This window comes from Homo sapiens, chromosome 9 (assembly GCF_000001405.40).
Source record: "Homo sapiens chromosome 9, GRCh38.p14 Primary Assembly".
NCBI classification, from domain to species: domain Eukaryota; kingdom Metazoa; phylum Chordata; class Mammalia; order Primates; family Hominidae; genus Homo; species Homo sapiens.
In genome coordinates this window covers 76,822,457-76,842,719 of record NC_000009.12, presented here as the reverse complement: position 1 = coordinate 76,842,719, position 20,263 = coordinate 76,822,457, and the positions used below count along the sequence as shown (strand labels likewise).

The 20,263-nt window shown below is 39.8% G+C and overlaps 1 protein-coding gene across 34 annotated transcripts in view; it reads left to right on the top strand.

Moving 5' to 3' along the window:
• Positions 1-20,263, top strand: part of PRUNE2 (prune homolog 2 with BCH domain) — a 294,739-nt gene that overhangs the window by 63,395 nt on the left and 211,081 nt on the right. For all 34 annotated transcript variants that reach the window (NR_131751.2, XM_047422884.1, XM_017014349.2 and 31 more), the window contains 2 exons: positions 15,988-16,140; positions 18,994-19,088. Coding sequence is in view for 33 of the 34 variants with exons in the window: in XM_047422884.1 (XP_047278840.1) it covers positions 15,988-16,140; positions 18,994-19,088 (248 nt within the window). In the remaining variant the exon portion in view is untranslated. The remainder of the gene's footprint in view (positions 1-15,987; positions 16,141-18,993; positions 19,089-20,263) is intronic.

The following is a 20,263-nucleotide window of genomic DNA, read 5'->3' as shown; positions in this document are numbered from 1 at the left end:
CCATATGTTTGTTGGCCACTTCTTTTGAGAAGTGTCTCTTCATATCCTTTGCCTAGTTTTTGTTGGGGTTGTTTGTTTTATTCTTGTAAATTTGTTTAAGTTCCTTGTAGATTCTGGATATTAGCCCTTTGTCAGGTGGATAGATTGCAAAATTTTTCTCCCACTCTGTAGGTTGCCTGTTCATTCTGATGATAGTTTCTTTTGCTGTGCAGAAGCTCTTTAATTAGATCTTATTTGTCAATTTTGGCTTTTGTTGCCATTGCTTTTGGTTTTTTAGTCATAAAGTCTTTGCCCATGCCTGTGTCCTGAATGATATTGCCTAGGTTTTCTTCTAGGGTTATTATGGTTTTAGGTCTTATGTTTAAGTCTTTAATCCATCTTGAGTTAATTTTTGTAAGGTGTAAGGAAAGGGTCCAGTTTCAGTTTTCTGCATATGGCTAGCCAGTTTTCCCAACACCATTTATTAAATAGGGAATCCTTTCCCCATTGCTTGTTTTTGTCAGGTTTGTCAAAAATCAGATGGTTGTAGATGTGTGGCATTATTTCTGAGGGCTCTGTTCTGTTCCATTGGTCTATGTCTGTTTTGGTACCAGTACCAGGCTGTTTGGTTACTGTAGCCTTGTAGTATAGTTTGAAGTCAGGTAGCGTGATACCTCCATTTTGTTCTTTTTGCTTAGGATTGTCTTGGCTATACGGGTTCTTTTTTGGTTCCATATGAAATTTAAAGTAGTTTTTTTGAATTTTGTGAAGAAAGTCAGTGGTAGCTTTCTTCTCAGGTGGGGATTCAATAGGGATAGCAGATTCAATGGGGATAGAGCCAGCAGGCAGGAACGTTTAAATCTGCTGAAGCTGCTCCCACAGCCGCCCCTTCCCCCAAGTGCTCTGTCCCAGGGAGATGGGAATTTTATCTATAAGCCCCTGACTGGGGTTGCTGCCTTTCTTTGAGAGATGCCCTGTGCAGAGAGGAGGAATCTAGAGAGGTAGTCTGGCTACAGCGGCTTTGCAGTGCTGTGGTGGGCTCTGCCCAGTCTGAACTTCCCTGCAGCTTTGTTTACACTATGAGGGGAAAACCACCTACTCAAGCCTCAGTAATGGCGGACTCAAGCATCCCAGGTTGACTTCAGACTGCTGTGCTGGCAGCGAGAATTTCAAGCCAGTGGATCTTAGCTTGCTGGGCTCCATGGGGTGGGATCCACTGAGCTAGACCACTTGGCTTCTTGGCTTCAGCCCCCTTTCCAGGGGAGTGAACAGTTCTGTCTCACTGGCGTTCCAGGCGCCACTGGGGTATGAAAACAAAACTCCTTCAGCTAGCTCAGTGTCTGCCCAAATGGCCACTCAGTTTTGCACTTGAAACCCAGGGCCTTGGTGGTGTAGGCATCCAAGGGAATCTCCTGGTCTGTGAGTTGCAAAGAACATGGCAAAAGCATAGTATTTGGGCTGGAATGCCCCGTTCCTCATGGCATGGTCCCTCATGGCTTCCCTTGGCTAGGGGAGGGAGTTCCCCGACCCCTTGTGCTTCCTGGGTGAGGCGATACCCCACCCTGCTTTGGCTCACCCTCCATGGCTGGGCTGACCAGTCCCAATGTCTAACCAGTCCCAATGAGATGAGCCAGGTACCTCAGTTGGAAATGCAGACATCACCCCCCTTCTGCATTGATCTTGTTGGGAGCTGCAGACCGGAGCTGTTCCTATTTGATCATCTTGCCAGCCACCTAGGGACAATCTTTTTTTTTTTTTTGAGAGGAAGTCTCGCGCTTGTTGCCCAGGTTGGAGTGCAGTGGCGCAATCTTGGCTCACTGCAACCTCCGCCTCTCGGGTTCAAGCGATTCTCCTGCGTCAGCCTCTCAAGTAGCTGGGATTACAGGTGCCTGCCACAAAGCCCGGCTAATTTTTGTGTTTTTAGCAGAGACTGGGTTTCGCCATGTTGGCCAGGCTGGTCTTGAACTCCTGACCTCAGGTGATCTGCCCGCCTCAGCCTCCCAAAGTGCTGGGATTACAGGCCTGAGCCACCACTCCCAGCCTAGAACAAATTTTTATGTATTCTTCTAGGTCTTGAAAGAATGCCGATATTTTATGCACATCTTTGCCATAAGAAATGTTAGCAAATGTCTGTTTCCAGATGTCATGAGACTAGATATTTATGGCTGAGACTTGAAAGAGTCTTTAAAAGCATCATAATTAGACCTCAGTGGACAATATATTAGTATAAACATTGTACCAAAAAACTCTACATTTTCTATGAGCTAAGTACTTCATCAATTTGATTGTACTTTGCTTTTCATCCCCGTGGCTGTATCCTAGAATGCATCATGCTTGGGCATGCTGGTGTGCTGTAAATGGATTTCAGGTGGGCCAAGATATTGATTCCTTTGGTTCTTGGAGAAGGCCCTGTGTATGGCTCTGAGCCCACTGTGCTCAAAAGTAAAAAAAGGTCACTTTCAATGTGTTCCTTGATATGCAAAAAGTTGGGCCTACTCTTCCTTCATCTTACTTGTTAGCTCCTTTTCCTCTGCTCAGTTGCTAAGTGTTGGGTGCCTAAAACTTGTCCTTTTTCTCTTTTTTTGCTATCTTTAAGTGACTTTGTTTAGTTCCAAGACTTTAAATATTATACACAGGCTGATGACTGCCTGTATCTCCAACTGTGACCTCTTTTTAGAATTCCAGATTTATATCCAAGCCCACGTTACATCTTCACATGCTTGTCTAATTAGTACCACATCCTTAACACGGCTGCAGTAGAACCTTTTAGTTTCTTGTACCTCCAAACCTGCTTTTATTCCAATTTCTTCATTTCAGTAAACCACCCAATTGCTTAAAAGCCATCATCTAGGAGTTATACATGATTCTTTCCTTTGCCTTCTGCAAATCCATCAGCAGTCCTGCTGACCCTCCATCTAGAACATAACATGACTCCCTCTACATTTTCCATGATCACTGCTAGTGACTCAGTTCAAGCCTCCATTCTGCCTCTCTTTGACTACTGTCTTAGCTGCCTGACTGTTGCCCTATCTCCTCCATAAAACCTATTGCCATGAAGTCTTCAGAATGACCTTGTAAATTGTAAGTCAGGCCATTTCAACCTCCGGCTTCAAACCTGTCTCACTCAAAATCCAAGCATCCTACCTCTACCCCTAGAGACCACCACGTCATCTCTCCTCTGCCTATTCTCACATCCCTTGGTAAGATTTCCCCCTTTTCCCACTGTGTTGCAGACACAAGAGCCTTTCAGCTTTTCAAATATGCCAAACTCTTTCCACTCTTGATGATTTACATAAGCCGTTCCCTCCTTCTGGAATGCTTGTTTCATCTATAGTATCTCGTCATCTCTCTTTCTGCCTATCAGGAGCCTCCTCTTCCCTCTTGCTTCCTCACTCCAGGATGTAACTTCATGAGAAAAGAGACTTTCTGTGTTGTGTGCACTGCTTCACTGTTGTGTCTCTGGTACCTAGAACAGTACCTGGCACAGAGTAGGCCCTCGATAAACACTGTCATAAAAGGAATTTTGCAACATTGTTTATGTGCTCTCTATTTTTATGACTGTATTGATTCAGTTAATGCTATAATACTTTAATTTCCGTCCCCTTCAGTCCATCCTTCTAACATTCTTAATGTGTAAAATTTGGACGTTGTTCCTTCTAGTTTAAAAAAAAACAAACAAACTCCTATTTTTAGCTTTAAGAAATCCTAGTGTTTTGCAAGCATTTCTTTTTATTTTCACCATTTGGTTATATAAATAAATAAGTAAATAAATAAATGTATTTTAGCCCTCTTGTGGAGTATAATACTTTGCACCAAAAAGAATGCAAAACATGTGTATAAAAGGACATGTAAACAGTTCAAGGAATTATCACAAAGCGAGCACCCTTTTAACAATTATCCAGGTAAAGAGAAAGACCTTTTGGTGCTCCTTCCCACCACTGCTCACTCCCTCCCTAACTAGCGTTAACTGGTATTCCCATTTTTGTGGTATACTCTTCTTTGCTTTTCTTTATAGTTTTAACATCACTGTGTGTACCCCATAGCAGTACAGATGGGTTCTGGCTGTATTTGTTTTTTTTTTTTTTTTTTTTTTTTGAGACAGAGTTTCGCTCTTGTTGCCCAGGCTGGAGTGCAATGGCGCAATCTCAGCTCACTGCAACCTCCGCCTTCTAGGTTCAAGCAATTCTCCTGCCTCAGCCTCCCAAGTGGCTGGGATTACAGGCATCTGCCACCATGCCCCACTAATTTTTGTGTTTTTAGTAGAGATGGGGTTTTGCCATATTGGTCAGGCTGGTCTTGAACTCCTGGCCTCAAGTGATCCACCTGCCTCGGCCCCCCAAAGTGTTGGGATTACAGACATGAGCCACCATGCCCAGCCTCTGCCTGCATTTGTATGATATATAAATGGCATCATACAGTATATATTACTCATTGTTTTTAGATCTCTACCTTTGTATTAAATGGAGAATCTACTTGTCTAGGTTTATCTATCTATTTTATTATGTTTGCCCTTCCTTCTTCCATAAAATATTTGAGGAGGCTTACAAAAATGCATGCAGTATAATAAAAGAGAAAAAAAAAGGTCAAGATCAGGAAAAATAAAAACTAGTACAGAAAGGAATAGGATCAGATACAATTATAAATTTGGAGGAATAAAAATAGTATTTGGTGGCTGGGCACAGTGGCTCACACCTGTAATCCCAGCATTTTGGGAGGCTGAGGCGGGCAGATCACGAGGTCAGGAGATCGAGACCATCCTGGCTAACACGGTGAAACCCCGTCTCTACTAAAAATACAAAAAATTAGCTGGGCGTGGTGGCAGGCGCCTGTAGTCCCAGCTACTCAGGAGGCTGAGGCAGGAGAATGGCGTGAACCCAGGAGGCAGAGCTTGCAGTGAGCCGAGATTGCGCCACTGCACTCCAGCCTGGGCGACAGAGCAAGACTCCGTCTCAAAAAAAAAAAAAAAATAGTATTTGGTTTGAAACTTTGGATACGAGCTTCCTGGAGCCAATGAAAAAATTAAAATATGATTAATTATAATCATTTTTACTGAAATAAACACATATACTAGTTTCTCATTTTAAAAAGATACAACTAAGTCTAAATTTTTTTTTGTATCAGTCTTGAAAAGACACCTGATAATGCCATAGAAATACCCCTGCTCTATCCTTTTCCACATGCAGTGGGGGCATATACAGGAATTGTGCACAGCATGTCAGATACTTCCTGCTCCTCAATCAGTGTATGGGATTGCTTTAATAGCATTATTATTATTATTATTATTATTATTATTATTATTTGAGACAGAGTCTCACTGTGTCGCCAGGCCGGAGTGCAATGGCACAATCTTGGCTCACTGCAATCTCTGCCTCCCGGGTTCAAGCAATTCTCCTGCCTCAGCCTCCCGAGTAGTTGGGACTGCAGGTGCCCGCCACCACGCCTGGCTAATTTTTGTATTTTTAGTAGAGACGGGGTTTCACCATGTTGGCCAGGATGGTCTCAATCGCTTCACCTTGTGATCCGCCCGCCTTGGCCTCCCAAAGTTCTGGGATTACAGCAGAGAGCCACTGTGCCCGGCCAATAACTTCATTTTTTTAATCAGCTTTACCTTTAGTCTAGCAACCTCATTTTCTGCTCCAAATTTCTTTTCTATGCATGCTGATGTTTTTCTCTAAATCTAAAAAATACATATTTAAATTCAATCATATTTGAATCTTTTTAGTCTTATACACAGCTGTAGCTACATATCAATGTTTGCATTATGGTATATTATTTTATTCAAACATTGAGGTAGAACTTGATTATTACGGATGTCGTTAAAAAGATCATTTGTATACTAATTAGAGGTATGTGTCATGTTGCCAGCATAGAAATAACGTGCTTGTGTTTTTCTAATAATGTCCCCCGTCACTCTGCTTTGGGCCCTAGCAGGACAGTCATGGATAAATGTCAACAGGTGACTCATCTATGACCAAAATGTGTTCAGGCTTTGTGGGGGATTTAACAAAATAGAAATAATTTGCACTTTTCAAAATTAATACTTCTTACAATAGCTAGGTCTTGCTGTTGCCTTTTAGTAGGATATACCCCCAAACTTAGAAATTTCAGGAAACAAATCATTAGTATCCACTTTCATTTGGAAAGGCACGTACTTATGTAGCATTACTTTCTAATTATTTGTGTAAGAAGGGAACGTGCTCATAAAGATGAGATCATAAATGGCCCTGAGTTTTGGAAAGAAAATCTTTTAGCTTCTCCCCTTCCTTGCCCACCTATTTTTGCTGAGGTTCTTCTTTGTTTCTTTGCTTTCTTTCTCTTCTCTCTTTTCTCCTTCTCCTGTTCTTGGGCTTCTCCCTCCCCCTATCTGATTCTAAGATTTTTTTGTGTTCATTTTCCAAGGCATGAATGTTCCATAAAGTCACATCATACAGTCATGGTGGCTAAAGTTGGTGCTTAGTTATGCCCTGGGTTTGTGCCAAAAGTGAACAGTTACAGACCCGCCAGAGTCCTCACCTGTATTCGTTTATTTCTCCAGAGATGTGTGCTAGAGGACTACTGCCAAATTTAAGATCCATTAAATTGCTGAATCATCACATTGGGGATTGTATGCGTGCACATTTGTATTTGTGTGCGTGTGTGTTTCTGGGAACCAGCTGGCAATGAGGTTTCAGCCACTGATTACCAGGCATGCTTAGATCAAGACCACACTTTACCCAAATGGCCTTTCACTTTTATTTGTGTAAGGCCTTGACAGGAGCCACAAGACAAAGAGAGAAAGAAAAGCGACTGTTCTTAGCCTAGGACTAAGTGAAAAACTAATATCCCAGGTTTTTAAAATTTAAACAAACTCTCTCCTTCCTATTGGTAGTTTCATTTGACCTTTAATAAAGAATAGTTGCTTGCTATTTTAGTAGCCTGGATTAACAGCTTCAAAAAGATCCTTTTAAGGAGGTCAAATAGGAAAGGAACAGAGCCAGATATTTTTTTTCTCTCTCTCTCTCTTGCCCAAAGAGTGAATCATCTCTCTCCTGAAATGGTTACAAAATCCAGAGGGAATTACATTGCCTGTTTTGCTTACGAAGACGGAGGGCTGTTTCACTTAGGAAGAAGATACTAGGGGTAGGGGGAAGAAGTGATTGTTTCTGCTAGTTATAAAACCAAAATGATTCCTCAACCTCAGAGTGTTCACTATTTCTTCTGTCACACAAAGATAATCTTTATTCTTAAATTCAGACATTTTAAAGTTATGAAAATAGTAGGCAGTTAATAAAATAGTAGGCAGTATAAAAAGAGGCTTCTTTTTATACCTCTTCAGACAAAAACGTAAACTAAGTTGTATTTCTTTTTCCTCCTTCCATTTTCCTCCTCCCTCTTTCTCTCTGTTATTCATTCCTTACTTTTTTTTCAATATGAAAAAAATCAATCCTATGTAAAAGAAAAAAAGATTTAAGACCCTTCTTTTCTGTTAAGAATTTGTCATGCAGAATACGCCTTTACTGTGTTGAATGTTTTCCCCAAACAATTTCTGACTTCATTAGATCATATTTAATATTAATGCACTGCAATTGCTTTTGGCAAGAGGTCCTTCACTTCTCCATTCTTTTGAGCAAAGAATATTGTGTTTGCTTTCTTTTCTAATGGAATGAAGTGTTTGTTACTATTTCCTCATAATTGCTTTCTTTGTTGCTTGCTGTTAATCGCTCCTTCCCTCTACCCTGCCTATGAATAGCTAAGATACTTTGGGGTACGTCCTTATGGATTTCAGTATTTCTTTCATTCTGCAAAATTTGCTGTAAGTTAGGTCAGTGCTTGCTACAAAAATAGGTTTCAATTTGCTGAGAGGTGTCTCTGGCTGCTGTAAGTCATGATACAGAAAAATAAGTTTGTAACTAAATGGGTTTCTAATGTAAGGTAGAAAAATTTGCCAAAGATGAGTTCCTGGGATAAAGTTGGGCTGTAGCTGTTTTTGTGCAGTCAAAATAGCTCAGAGTATCATGAGCATTTTTCTGAGTTAGTTTTCATACTTTTATCAGTATATCATCTCCTTTGTAATAGTCATATCAAACTTAACTATAAGCCAATATCAGATGTCTGTTTTCACTAAATTATTCCATAGGTCTCTGTTTAATGTAATATCTGTTAGGTTAATTTCTTAATACTGCCTTTCCATTTTATGTCTTTAAAAAATAAGATCCCCAAATCAAAGAAACTGGATTCTTGGTTTGACTGTAAGCCAGGGCACATTAAGTATTTAATATTTTGATTCTATTGCATTTCTAAATTTTTGATTTTTAATTGTGATTATTTATGGAAATACAGGTAATTTTGTATTATTGACCTTAATGCAGCAAACTTGCTAAATTTACTGACTATCCTGAGTTCATTTGTAGATTCTTTGAGCTTTTTTTGCACACATAATTGTGTCATCTATGAGGAAAGACAGTGTTTATTCTTTATTTTCCTTTATTTATACTTTCTACTTCTTTTGCTTGCCTTATTGCACTCTGGTTAGGATTCAGTGTGGTGTTGAGTAAGAATAAGAATAATAGGCATCTTGGGGCCGGGCACGGTGGCTCACACCTGTTATCCCAGCACCTTGGGAGGCTGAGGTGGGCGGATCACCTGAGGTCAGGGGTTTGAGACCAGACTGGCCAACATGGTGAAACCCCGTCTCTCCTAAAAATACAAAAATTAGCCAGGTGTGGTGGCACATGCCTGTAATCCTAGCTACTCGGGAGGCTGAGGCAGGAGAATCGCTTGAACTTGGGAGGCGGAAGTTGCAGTGAGCCAAGATTGCAGCCACTGCACTCCGGCCTGGGCGACCAAGCAAGACTCCATCTTAAAAAAAAAAAAACAAAAAAACCCGGCATCTTGGTCTCATTCCTGATTTGAAGTGGAAGTCTTTCAGTATTCCACAATTAACTGTGACGTCTGCTTTCTGTATTTTTTTTTAAATTTTTTATTTATTTATTTTTTTTTATGGAGTCTTGCTCTGTCGCCCAGGCTGGAGTGCAGTGGCGCAATCTCGGCTCACTGCAAGCTCCGCCTCCCGGGTTCACCCCATTCTCCTGCCTCAGCCTCCCAAGTAGCTGGGACTAGAGGCGCCTGCCACCAGGCCCGGCTAACTTTTTGTATTTTAAGTAGAGACGGGGTTTCACCGTGTTAGCCAGGATGGTCTCGATCTCCTGACTTCGTGATCCGCCCACCTCAGCCTCCCAAAGTGCGGGGATTACAGGCATGAGCCACCACGCCCGGCCTGTATTTGGTTTTTATAAATGCCATTCATCAAATAAGGAAGTTGTCTTCTATTTCTACTTGACTAAGATTTCACATAATGATTAACTTTGGGATTTTCTGAAGTAGTTTTACTACTTGATATCTGTCTATCTAGGTGATCATAGGATTTTTCCTCTTTATTAATATGATCAATTATAACTGATTGCTTTTTGAATGTTAATTTGTACTTTGATTCTTGGGGGAGCCCTACTTGGTGGCTATGCAATATCCTATTATAAATTGTTGAATTTGACTTGGGACTAGTTTTAAAAACTAGTATTAGTTTAATTGGTATTAAGGTTTTGCTAGATTCATAAAATTCATAAAATGAAGATATAATTCCATTGTCTTTAGACTTTTGGGAAATCTCTCATTTTCTATTCTTTGGGATAATTTGTGTAAAATTAACATTTCTTAAATATTTGGAATTATGGACTTAACTATGGATTCATTTTTAAATAGATACAAAACTAGTCTAGTTTTTTATTTCTTTTTCTGCCAATTTTGGCAAGTTGAATTTTCCTAGTGGTGTCCATGTCTTCTAAAATTTAAAACTTATTAAAACCAAGTTGTTAGTATCTTTTAATGTCCGTAGAATCTAGTTATGTCACGATTTCATTATTAATATTGGTAAACTATGTCTTCTTTCTCTCCTGTCTCTTTTTTTCTTGAATTGTTTTCAAAACTCCTTATATTAGTTTTTTCCAGAAATCCAAGTTTTGTTTTATTGATTTCTTCCATATGTGTTTGTTTCCTTCATCTTTAACTTTGGCCTTGTGTTTATTATATTTGTCCTTCTACCTTTTTTTTAGGTGAATTTAATGTGTGTGTATTTTTTTTAACACTTAACGCTTTTAAGGGTATAAAATTTCCTTAGAGCACAACTTGAGTTGAATCTCACAATTTAAAGTGTCATATTTTCATTCTCATTTAGTTAAAAGTATTATATATTCTGATTTACATTGTGATTTCTTCTTTTACCATGAGTTATATAGAAGTGCATTGTTTTTACTTTGTTATTGTTTTTAGACTATTTTTCAAGTAACCACAGACTATAACTCTATAGTGGCCACCTTTTGAAATTTATTAGAACTTAAACTCTGCTTCAACAGATGGTCAATTTTGGTAAATGTTTCATTTGTACTAGAAAAGAAAGTATAGTCCACCACTGTTGGTAACAATTTAATATATGTTAATTAGGTCAAGTTTGTTACTCATGGTGGTCAAACGTTCTATATTTTTGCATACTTTTTCCTGCTGGTTCTTAGAGTTGCTGCGAGAGATGTGTTAAAATTTTCCACTGTGACTGTGTATTTATCTCATTTTTCATCTAGTCTTTTCAGTTTTTGCTTTATATATTTAGAAGCTATGCTATTAGTGCATACAAATTTAGAATTGATGTATCTTCCAGAGGATTGACCCCTTATTAATATAGAAATATTTATCTTAATCTCATGTAATTCTTCTTGTTTTGTAGTCCGTTTTGTTTGATATTAGCATATTACACCAACTTTCTTGTGATTGGTGTTCGCATGTTTATGTTTTTCTATCCTTTTACCTTCAACCTTCCGATGATTATATTTAAGGTGTGCTCTGGTAAGCAGTATATTGTCATTTTGGTTTCTAAAATTCAGTTTGATGATATTTGTCTTTGAATCGAAGTGCTTTGTCTCTGTGTTTAATGTAATTGCTGTTACATCTGGTTTAAATTTATTATTTTGATGTTTGTTTCCTACTTGTCACACATTTTCTTCTTTTCCTCTCATTTCTTTACTGCTGTATACTAAATAAGTGTTTTTGATATTCTTTTAGTGGTTATGATAGCAATTACAACATACAGTTAAAATATCATATAAATTGATAATTTTATCATTTCCCTGACAATCTTAGAACCTAAAACAGCTTCTCTCTACTTAGCCTCTCCTCAGTTTGTTACTATTAAAATGTATTTTAATTATCCATATATAATATTTTAAACTTTAAAATATTACTATAATTCTAAACTCTTTAAAATATTACTATAATTGTTTTATACAGTGAATATTGAATTTATTCTTACCCACATATTTACATTGTCCAATGTTTTTCTTTTCTTCCTGCATTTCTTTGCTTCCTTATGAGATAATTTTTTTCTGCCTTTACTGTTTCTTTTGGTGTAGATCTTGTGACGCATACTTTCAGACTTCTTTCATTTTTTTCTGAAATGCCTTTATTTTGCCTTCTTTTAGAATTTGTTGGCTGGGTGCGGTGGCTCAAGCCTGTAATCCCAGCACTTTGGGAGGCCGAGGTGGGCGGATCACAAGGTCAGGAGATCGAGACCATGCTGGCTAACATGGTGAAACCCCATCTCTACTAAAAATACAAAAAATTAGCTGGGCGTGGTGGCGGGTGCCTGTAGTCCCAGCTACTTGGGAGACTGAGGCAGGAGAATGGTGTGAACCCGGGAGGTGGAGCTTGCAGAGAGCCGAGATCACGCAACTGCACTCCAGCCTGGGCAACAGAGCAGGACTCCGTCTCAAAAAAAAAAAAAAAAATTGTTTTCACTCAGTATGGAATTCTAGATGGGCAATTGTTTTATATTAGCCCTTTGAAGATGTAATTCCATTGTCTTTAGACTTTCATCATTTTAGTTGAGAAGTCAGTCATACTTTTAATGCCCTTTTTACTCTGATTGGTTTAATTTTTATTTTTTCTCTCCATAATTTTTTTAGCAGTTTTACTATCAGGCACCTAGAGGTGTTTGTCTTTGTCTTTATCCTGATTTGGGCTCATAGTTTTTCTTTTTCTTTTTTTTTTTTTCTTTTTTTGTTTTTGAGACTGAGTCTTGCTGTATCGCTCAGGCTGGAGTGCAGTGGCATGATCTCAGCTCACTGCAACTTCTGCCTCCCAGGTTCAAGTGATTCTTGTGTGTCAGCCTCCAGAGTAGCTGGGATTGCAGGCACCCACCATCATGCCCAGCTAGTTTTTATATTTTTAGTAGAGATGGAGTTTCACCATGTTGGCCAGGCTGGTCTCAAACTCCTGATGTCAAATGATCTACCCACCTCCACCTCCAAAGTGCTGGGATTACAGGTGTGAGCCACCGTGCCCAACCCACAGTTTTTCTTTAACGTTTGAATAATGTCTTTCTTTCATTAATTTTGAAAAATTAGTATACCAATTGCCTTTTCAAATATTGCTACAGCTCCATTCTCTCCTTTCCAAGGGGAACTACTGCCTATCTGTTAGACTTTGCTCCATTTCTCCATCTCTCTTAAGCTCATCTCTGTATTTTTCATCGCTTTTTCTCTCCATGCTTCAGTATGGTTGTTTTCTTCTGACCTATTTTCTAATTCACTAATCTTTTCCCCCATGCATCTAATCTGCTGTAAAAACATTTGAGTTCGAAATTAAGTTATTAAATTGACAGTTTTAAAATTTCATTTGATTATTTTACTTACAGATTCTAATTCTCTATTGTAATTCTTCAGCTATTTTTAAAATCCCCTCTGATTCTGTTTCTATTCTTTTCCTCATGAGTTTATTCTTCTAGAGTTTCCAGTCATTTCTTCTATTTCCTTTGTGATTGGCAATTTGTTATGGATGGCTGAATAGTGTATATGAAAAATGTGGAGATGATGAGACTAAAGATGACAAAATTATTTTGCTCTCAAGAGGATTTACTTTTGAACCCCAAAGGCAGTTTGAAGAGTGGCAGATTAAAAAAAAAAAAACAAAACAAAACTATTCTCTGCTTAAGCCAATTCAAATCAGGATTTCGGTCCTCAGGAAGACTGATCCATTTTTGCTTCACCCTTCTCCCTAGGCAGGGGTTGGTATAGGTCCAGATAGTAAATATCTTAGGGTTTGTGTGTCTGCAGTCTCTGTTGAAACTACTCAACTCTGTCAATATAGTACAAAAGCATCTATAAACAATATGCGAATTAATGAACATGGCTGTGTTCCAATAAAACTTCATTTATAGAAACAGACAATTAGCCAGATTTTATCTCCAGACTGTAGTTTTCCAACCCTTGTCCTAGGATATAACTCTCTAGGGGTCCTGTTTCAAAACCGGGTTACTTAACTAAAACTCCTTTTCTGTAGAGGGCCCTAAACTTTAGTTTTTGTCTCCATAGGCTGTTAAACTTCTGTTAGATTTGCTAATTTTTTCAGCCTATTGGCTTATTTTATCACTTATGAATTAGCAAATATCCTAAGAGGAAAAGCAACACCAAATGTTGGGCTCACTTCTGTGCACTTACCCTCTCTCCAGGACCTTAGCTTCCAAGACAGTTACTTGGGTAACTCTGTGATACTTTCACAGATTTTTAAAAACTTGATTTAGCTTTTATCCTTGTTCTTAGTACAAGCAGTCTATCAGAGCGAGAGGCAGATGAAGATCTTTTCTGAAATTCATATTTACCATTGCCTTAATAAAGAGGGGAATTTTTTTTTTTTTTTTTTTTGAGACAGAGTGAGACTCTGTCTCCTAGGCTGGAGTGAAGTGGCGTGATCTTAGCTCACTGCAACCTCCGCCTCCCAGATTCAAGCAATTCTCCCGCCTCAGCCTCCCGAGTAGCTGGGATTACAGGCACCCGCCACCGCTCCTGGCTCATTTTTTGTATTTTTAGTAGAGATGGGGTTTTGTCATGTTGGGCAGGCTGGTCTTAAACTCCTGACCTCAGGTGATCCACCAGCCTTGGCCTCCCAAAGTGCTGGGATTACAGGCATGAGCCGCTGCGCCCGGCTGGAAAAATAATCTTTATAGTATGAGTTTTATGTCAGAGATTGACAGACCACAGGGTATACACAAAATCCAGCTGGCTGCCCTCCACCTTCAAATGACTGTTGAAATGGAATCTGTTTAGTTCTGTGTGCTGACTGTTCTTTCCTTTTTTCTTATCCAAAACAGCCTCCTTACTGATTCTCCCCATATTCCTTATCTAAATTTTTCTCTGCATGATAGCCAGAGTGATTCTTATAAAACATAAATGTGAGCATGTTACTTTCCCTACTTAAAACTCTTGAAAGATTCCTCATCCCTCTTAAAATATAAAAGACAAACTTTAAGGCGGCTTGTAAGGCCCTTCATGGTCCCGCTATCTATCTCTATCTCTCCAACCTAATTTTTCAACATTTCCCTTGCTAAAATCATACCATCTACCTGTAATTAATTGCTTTCTGTTCCTTGAACTGGCCCAATTCCCTCCCACCTCAGTGCCTTTGCACAGGCTCTTTCTGGATCATGACCTCCCTCTTGTCTTTGCCTTAAGTCCCTAGTTATCCTTCAAGCTCAGCTTAGGTTAACTTTCTCTAGGAAGACTCCTCTGAACCCTAGATTTTGGCCTAGATTCAGAGTACTATGTATTTCACCCATAATATTTCTTATTCTCTGCTATTGAAAATGTCTGTGCTTACTTATTTGTAACCTCTAATCTCCCGTGAGCTTCAAGAGGCAAGGTTATCTCTAGCCTAATCTTGAATCGTTAGCATAGAGCCCTGCCTGGCCGATAAAAGGCACTCAGTAATTGTTTGTGAGGGAATGAATGGATGAAATGCTTTAAATATATTTAGCAATATTTACTTTTCTTTATGATGTTTACATTCATTTGATGCTTAGTATAACACTGTGAGCTGGGAAAGCAGTATTATTCCTGTTTTAAAAATGGGAAACTGGAAACGGAGGCCAGACGACTTGCTTGGGACTTTCCAGCATGTTTGATGGTAAATGTAGACCTCATCTCTAGGTTCTGTAGGTCTCAGGCCATGTGTTTGGATTGGGTACCATAGTTTTCCCTCACTGGATGCTTTATTTCCCCTTTTACCTTCTTTCCTCTTTTATTTATTTTCCATTTTCCCTCCCCCATGACTGGCGTTAAGGCTACACTGAAACAGAGACGGTAGTACTTTGATTAGTCAACAGATTTGGGGATTTTTAGAGAGCTTAATCATTTGTCATTAAGCGAAACTTCTCTCTCCCATGGTGACTCTGTGTTAATCTGGGCTTGGAATGCAGGGAAGAGTAAGAGTACGTATGGGGTGCTAACTCCTCCCTTTCAAGATGAGATTATCCACAGAAGTCACAGGAGTTTGTGCAAGGTCCTTCACACTGGAAAATTACTTTGTAATTTAAACCTGTGATTTAGACCCAGCTTGTGAGTCCTTATAATTAGATAATTGTAAATGACTTTAAAACTGTGTATGATGCTTGGGAGATCAGAAATGGACGTCAGGTTAGCCACCTTGTCAGATTCCTCAGCTGTTGACCGTGGGATTATACATTCATTTAGTGTGAAAAGGAAGAAGTTTGTATGTAAAATTAATAATATAATGAGTGGAAACAGTATTCTTTCTGGTCCTTTAAAGGAAATAAGGCTGATTAGACTTTTAAATAGTTTACCACTAACTTCCTTTTTGAAATCATTTAAGACCAATGCATATCTTTTTGTGTGTTTGTGTGGGGTTGGGGGAATATACACATTTTTTTCCTTTATCTGTGAATTCTGTACCATAGAGTATGCTAGGGTCAGTTAAGTTGTAGAGAGCAGTACTTGGAGAATAATGAAGCTGGATGATGGTTCAATTGTTTTCTAAAAATTGGCTCTTGAATGTTACGTGTGGAGGACTCTGGTCCAGGTGAGAGACAGAAATGGAAAGCTTAGATTGAGAGGCCAGGAAACACTGATTTTCTTGGCCCCTGTTCTGGCTTGGCTGGAAAGCTTTAAGAGCATTTTTATTCATACCTTTCAGGTAGCATTCTTTTCAAGTGGATGACCATGGAATCAGAGAAGATCTCAGAGAAGCAGGAGGAAATTCTTTCTATCCTGGAAGAAAAATTTCCTAACTTGCCTCCAAGAGAGGACATCATCAACGTCCTACAGGAGACCCAGTTCAGTGCTCAGGGTGAGTGACTCTGTCCCCAGCTCTCTTGTCCCTCCCGAGTAGGGATGGTTTGTGGCATGGAGCATCATCAGACCTGAGAAGGTATATTTGTTTCTTTGTTTGTTTTTTATACAGAGTCTCACTCTATCCCCCAGGCTGGAGTGCAGTAACATGATCTCAGCTCACTGCAACCTCGACCTCCCGGGTTCAGGTGATTCTCATGCCTGTCTCCCAAGTAGCTGGGATTACAGGCATGCACCATGACAGTCAGCTAATTTTTGGCATTTTTAGTAGAGGCAGGGCTTGACCATGTTGGCCAGGCTGGTCTCGAACTCCTGGCCTCAAGTCATCCACCTGCATCGGCCTCCCAAAGTGCTGGGATTACAGGTGTGAGCCACCATGCCCAGCTGAGAAGGTACATTTGAATGTGTTTCACCTTCTTCCTATTGCTTGTGCTGGTGGAAGGTTTTCAGGCACATAATGTTGACTCCCCTGCAAATAGACAGCTTGTACTGTGGCCTCTCCTCCGAGGCCTTTGTGTCTGGATGTGTGGTTAATTCATGTCTCTAGTGCATATCTCAGGTGCATTATTACATGCAATCCTTATGCTGATAGGATTCTATTTTGAGAAGATGGAAGGAGCAATATCAAGCACAATGGGATTTCATAAATCAGTTAATTTGAGAAGGAAATGAGTGAGAAGATGGCTATGTTGAAGAAACTGTTGTCAGAGTCTAGGCTTTGTCAGGACAGTGAATTTCCTGGATCAACTGTTTTACAATAACAAAAGGCTATAATTCACTGGATACCTACTGTATACAGGTTTTGATGGCATAGCTTGGCAAGGATGTTCTTGCTGAATCCTCCTCATGACAACCCCAAGAGTCAGTGCTTTGACGTCCCAGTCTGCAGGTGAGGGAGGACACTGAAGTGCAGAAAGCCTTCATTGCTTTCCCAACATCAAACACACATAGCAGGCAGGTGGCCAGGCAAGGCCTAAACCCAGCCTATATGTCTTTAAGATGTAAACACTAAATTACATAACTTTCTCTCTTAGTTCAGGAACCCCATCCCCAGGGGCAGGAGGGGGCAGAGCCTGAGGCAAAGTGGTTTATGTGGGAGGTGGTTCCAGTCAACACTGATAGGGGAATGGAATGCTTCAGCAAGCAAGTTGGCTCCATGGGAAACCAGAGCTTAATCCCACCAGAGACCATGAGAAAGAGTGTAAACTCTGTCCCACCTGAGGGATGCAGTGGTGTGCTCATCTCGGCTCCAGGAGCTGATGGTTAAATGTTCAGGAATTTTGTGAGTTGAGTGATGATTGGTAGCTTGAGATCAGCCATGGTAGGAGTATTTAGATCCCTGAAATTGACAAACACTACAAATCAGGATTTGTTACTGGCCGTTAAACATTTACCAGCAGACCACTGGAAGAGTGTGGGCTACTCAGACCCAGGGGGCCTTAATTCTCCAGTGTAGGCTCTGGTGGCCAAGGAAAGCCCTCAGGAAAAGAGAGGCAGGTGCTGGTGGTGGAGCATCATGCTGGGTGCACTGGGATGGGAAAGTTTGAGGAAATGGGGTGGGGCCTTTGCAGCGTCCATTGCACCTTCTGTTACCTATGCATAGATGTGCATGTCCTTGTGTGTATGCTGCACAAGGGAATGTGTTTTGTCATTCATTTTCACAATGACACCAAACTTTTAATGTCACAATGTCTTCAATGAATCATTTTACGCTGCATTGTGAAAGATTGTGGCTTTTCAATTTTTGAGTCAAAGAAAAATATTTAGTGCCTGTCTGTTTCCTCATGTGATTGACAGAGCATTGTAAGTAGGTAGTGCAAGCAGTGGTCTCTGAAGCCTTAACATACGTCTGGGAAGGGTGCAGTGCTTTACCAGGCTTTATTATAGATCTTCCTCCCAAGAGAGTAGGCCTAATCAGACGTAATAATGTAGCGCGAGAATTAAATGTCGAGCCAGATCCTTTGCTGCTTTACTGTGATAGATTTCATTGAGTTCCATTGGTCAACTGACTACAACTATGCAGTTCTGGATAATTTAGCCATTCTGGATTATTACTCCCATTAATTAGGGAATTTAATAACTCTTATTGTCAGAGCCTATTACGAGGGTAAGCAACTTAATTAAGATAGTCTTACGAGTCACATTTGTAAAGTGCATTTTGAATGAAATTATACTAGAAAACATGGGGGCTTACCTAAATGCAGCCTGAAAGCCAGTTTTGGCTTTCTTTGGTGTTACTTAACTAGTTTGCATGGTGATGTTAATTTTTCTTCATTTGTCCACCGCCACCCTTTTATTCCCTGCCTTTGTCTGCTCTGGGGCTCCAGAGGTGGACCCCTAAGTATTTAATCTTATGGGCTCCCACAACACTGGCTTCTGGTTGGGTTTGACCAATAGGAAGAGTTAGGAACAGGTAGGGATGGAGGCGAGGAGAAGAATGAGACTGTAGTGGATCTTCCTTGCCTTCTTCCTGCTTAGGTGGAAGTTTCTGCAGCCAGTCTTCTCAAGTTACAGATCTCTGTTTTCTTTCTGGGTCCCTTTGCTAGTCTCTGGATGCCTCATCATCTTTTATTCACTTTCTCACCCAGCCCACATCTCTGTAAGTGTCCTGCCATTAACACATCTTCTTTTGCAGCAAAAGAGGTGCATTTTTCCTATTGGGATCCTAACTGATGCAGACGTGATGTGATTATTGCCTTAGTGTGTGTGTGTGTGTTTATTGTGGATAAAAGTGACATTTGAGGGGCAAAGAATGAAATTTACAGAGTAAATTCTTCAAAACATCGCTTGATATTACAAAAAAAAAATCCCTCAAGTATAACATAATGTTTTTTTTTCCTGTCATCCACAGGTTTAAGTATTGAACAGACAATGTTGAAAGATCTAAAGGAGCTGTCAGATGGAGAAATAAAAGTGGCCATTAGTACTGTGAGCATGAACCTTGAGGTAAGGGTGGGAATGCTTTTTTAGCATTGATTGATTTCCCACAATTGCAGTCTGAGCAACTGGAATGTAACTCTCTCCATTGGATAAGTCCATGATAGTCCTTTGCTTCTTTGTGATACATTTGACTTGGAATATAGTGGCAGGTTATTATTTGGGTGAAAACACTATGCTAAGTCAATGAAAAATGCCAAACCTGGATTCTCAAGATGAATGCTCTTTCATTCATCTCAGTAAAACAAAGCCTAAAACAAACACTCAGATGTGGGTGTATATTTAACCTGTTTAATAGCAATTATGATATGTGTGATTAGGTTCACTTCCATATTTTCTGTGTACCACCCTGTATTGTTCATAGAACTTTTCTTAAAAAAAAAAAAGAAAAAAGAAAAAAAAGCAAGTTGTCTTTTGATCTTCAAAACTATTTGAATGCATGCCATTTTGGTAATCAGTGGTGACAACTCAAGTATTACTTAACAAGGAACCTCCTTCCAAACTGTTAACTGAATGGCTCAGAGCGAATGCTACTTTTGTCTTTGTGTGTTTCCTTGGTGAGTTATCTTTTGTCTACTTTGGGAGTTTTCAATGACTTATATGTTAATCTTAATTAACCTAACTAATGGGAACTATATTTTACAGAGGCACATTTGTGCATTTGTAGAAGTCTGTGTATTTCTTTACTGTTGTATTGTCTTTACCAGGTTATCTACATTTGGTTGGGCACTTAGCTCTTAGGTCGAGTTTATGGAGATGAAATATGCTCTATAGGAATTTGTGTTTTGGTTTTTAGAATTGTGTGTTGCCATTCTTTTTTTTTTCTTTTTCTTTGAGGTGGAGTCTTGCTCTGTCACCCAGGCTGGAGTGCAGTGGCACCATCTCAGCTCACTGCAACCTCCACCTCCTGGGTTCAAGTGATTCTCCTGCCTCAGCCTCCTGAGTAGCTGGGATTAAAGGCGCCCGCCACCACTCCTGGCTAATTTTTGTATTTTAGTAGAGACAGGGTTTCACCATATTGGTGAGGCTGGTCTTGAACTCCTGACCTCAAATGATCTGCCTGCCTTGGCCTCCCAAAGTGCTGGGATTACTGGCGTGAGCCACCACACCCGACCTATTCTTCTTTTTCTCATGGTGATGTTGACTATATCAATGTGTATATTTCTCTGGAATAGCAGGCACTC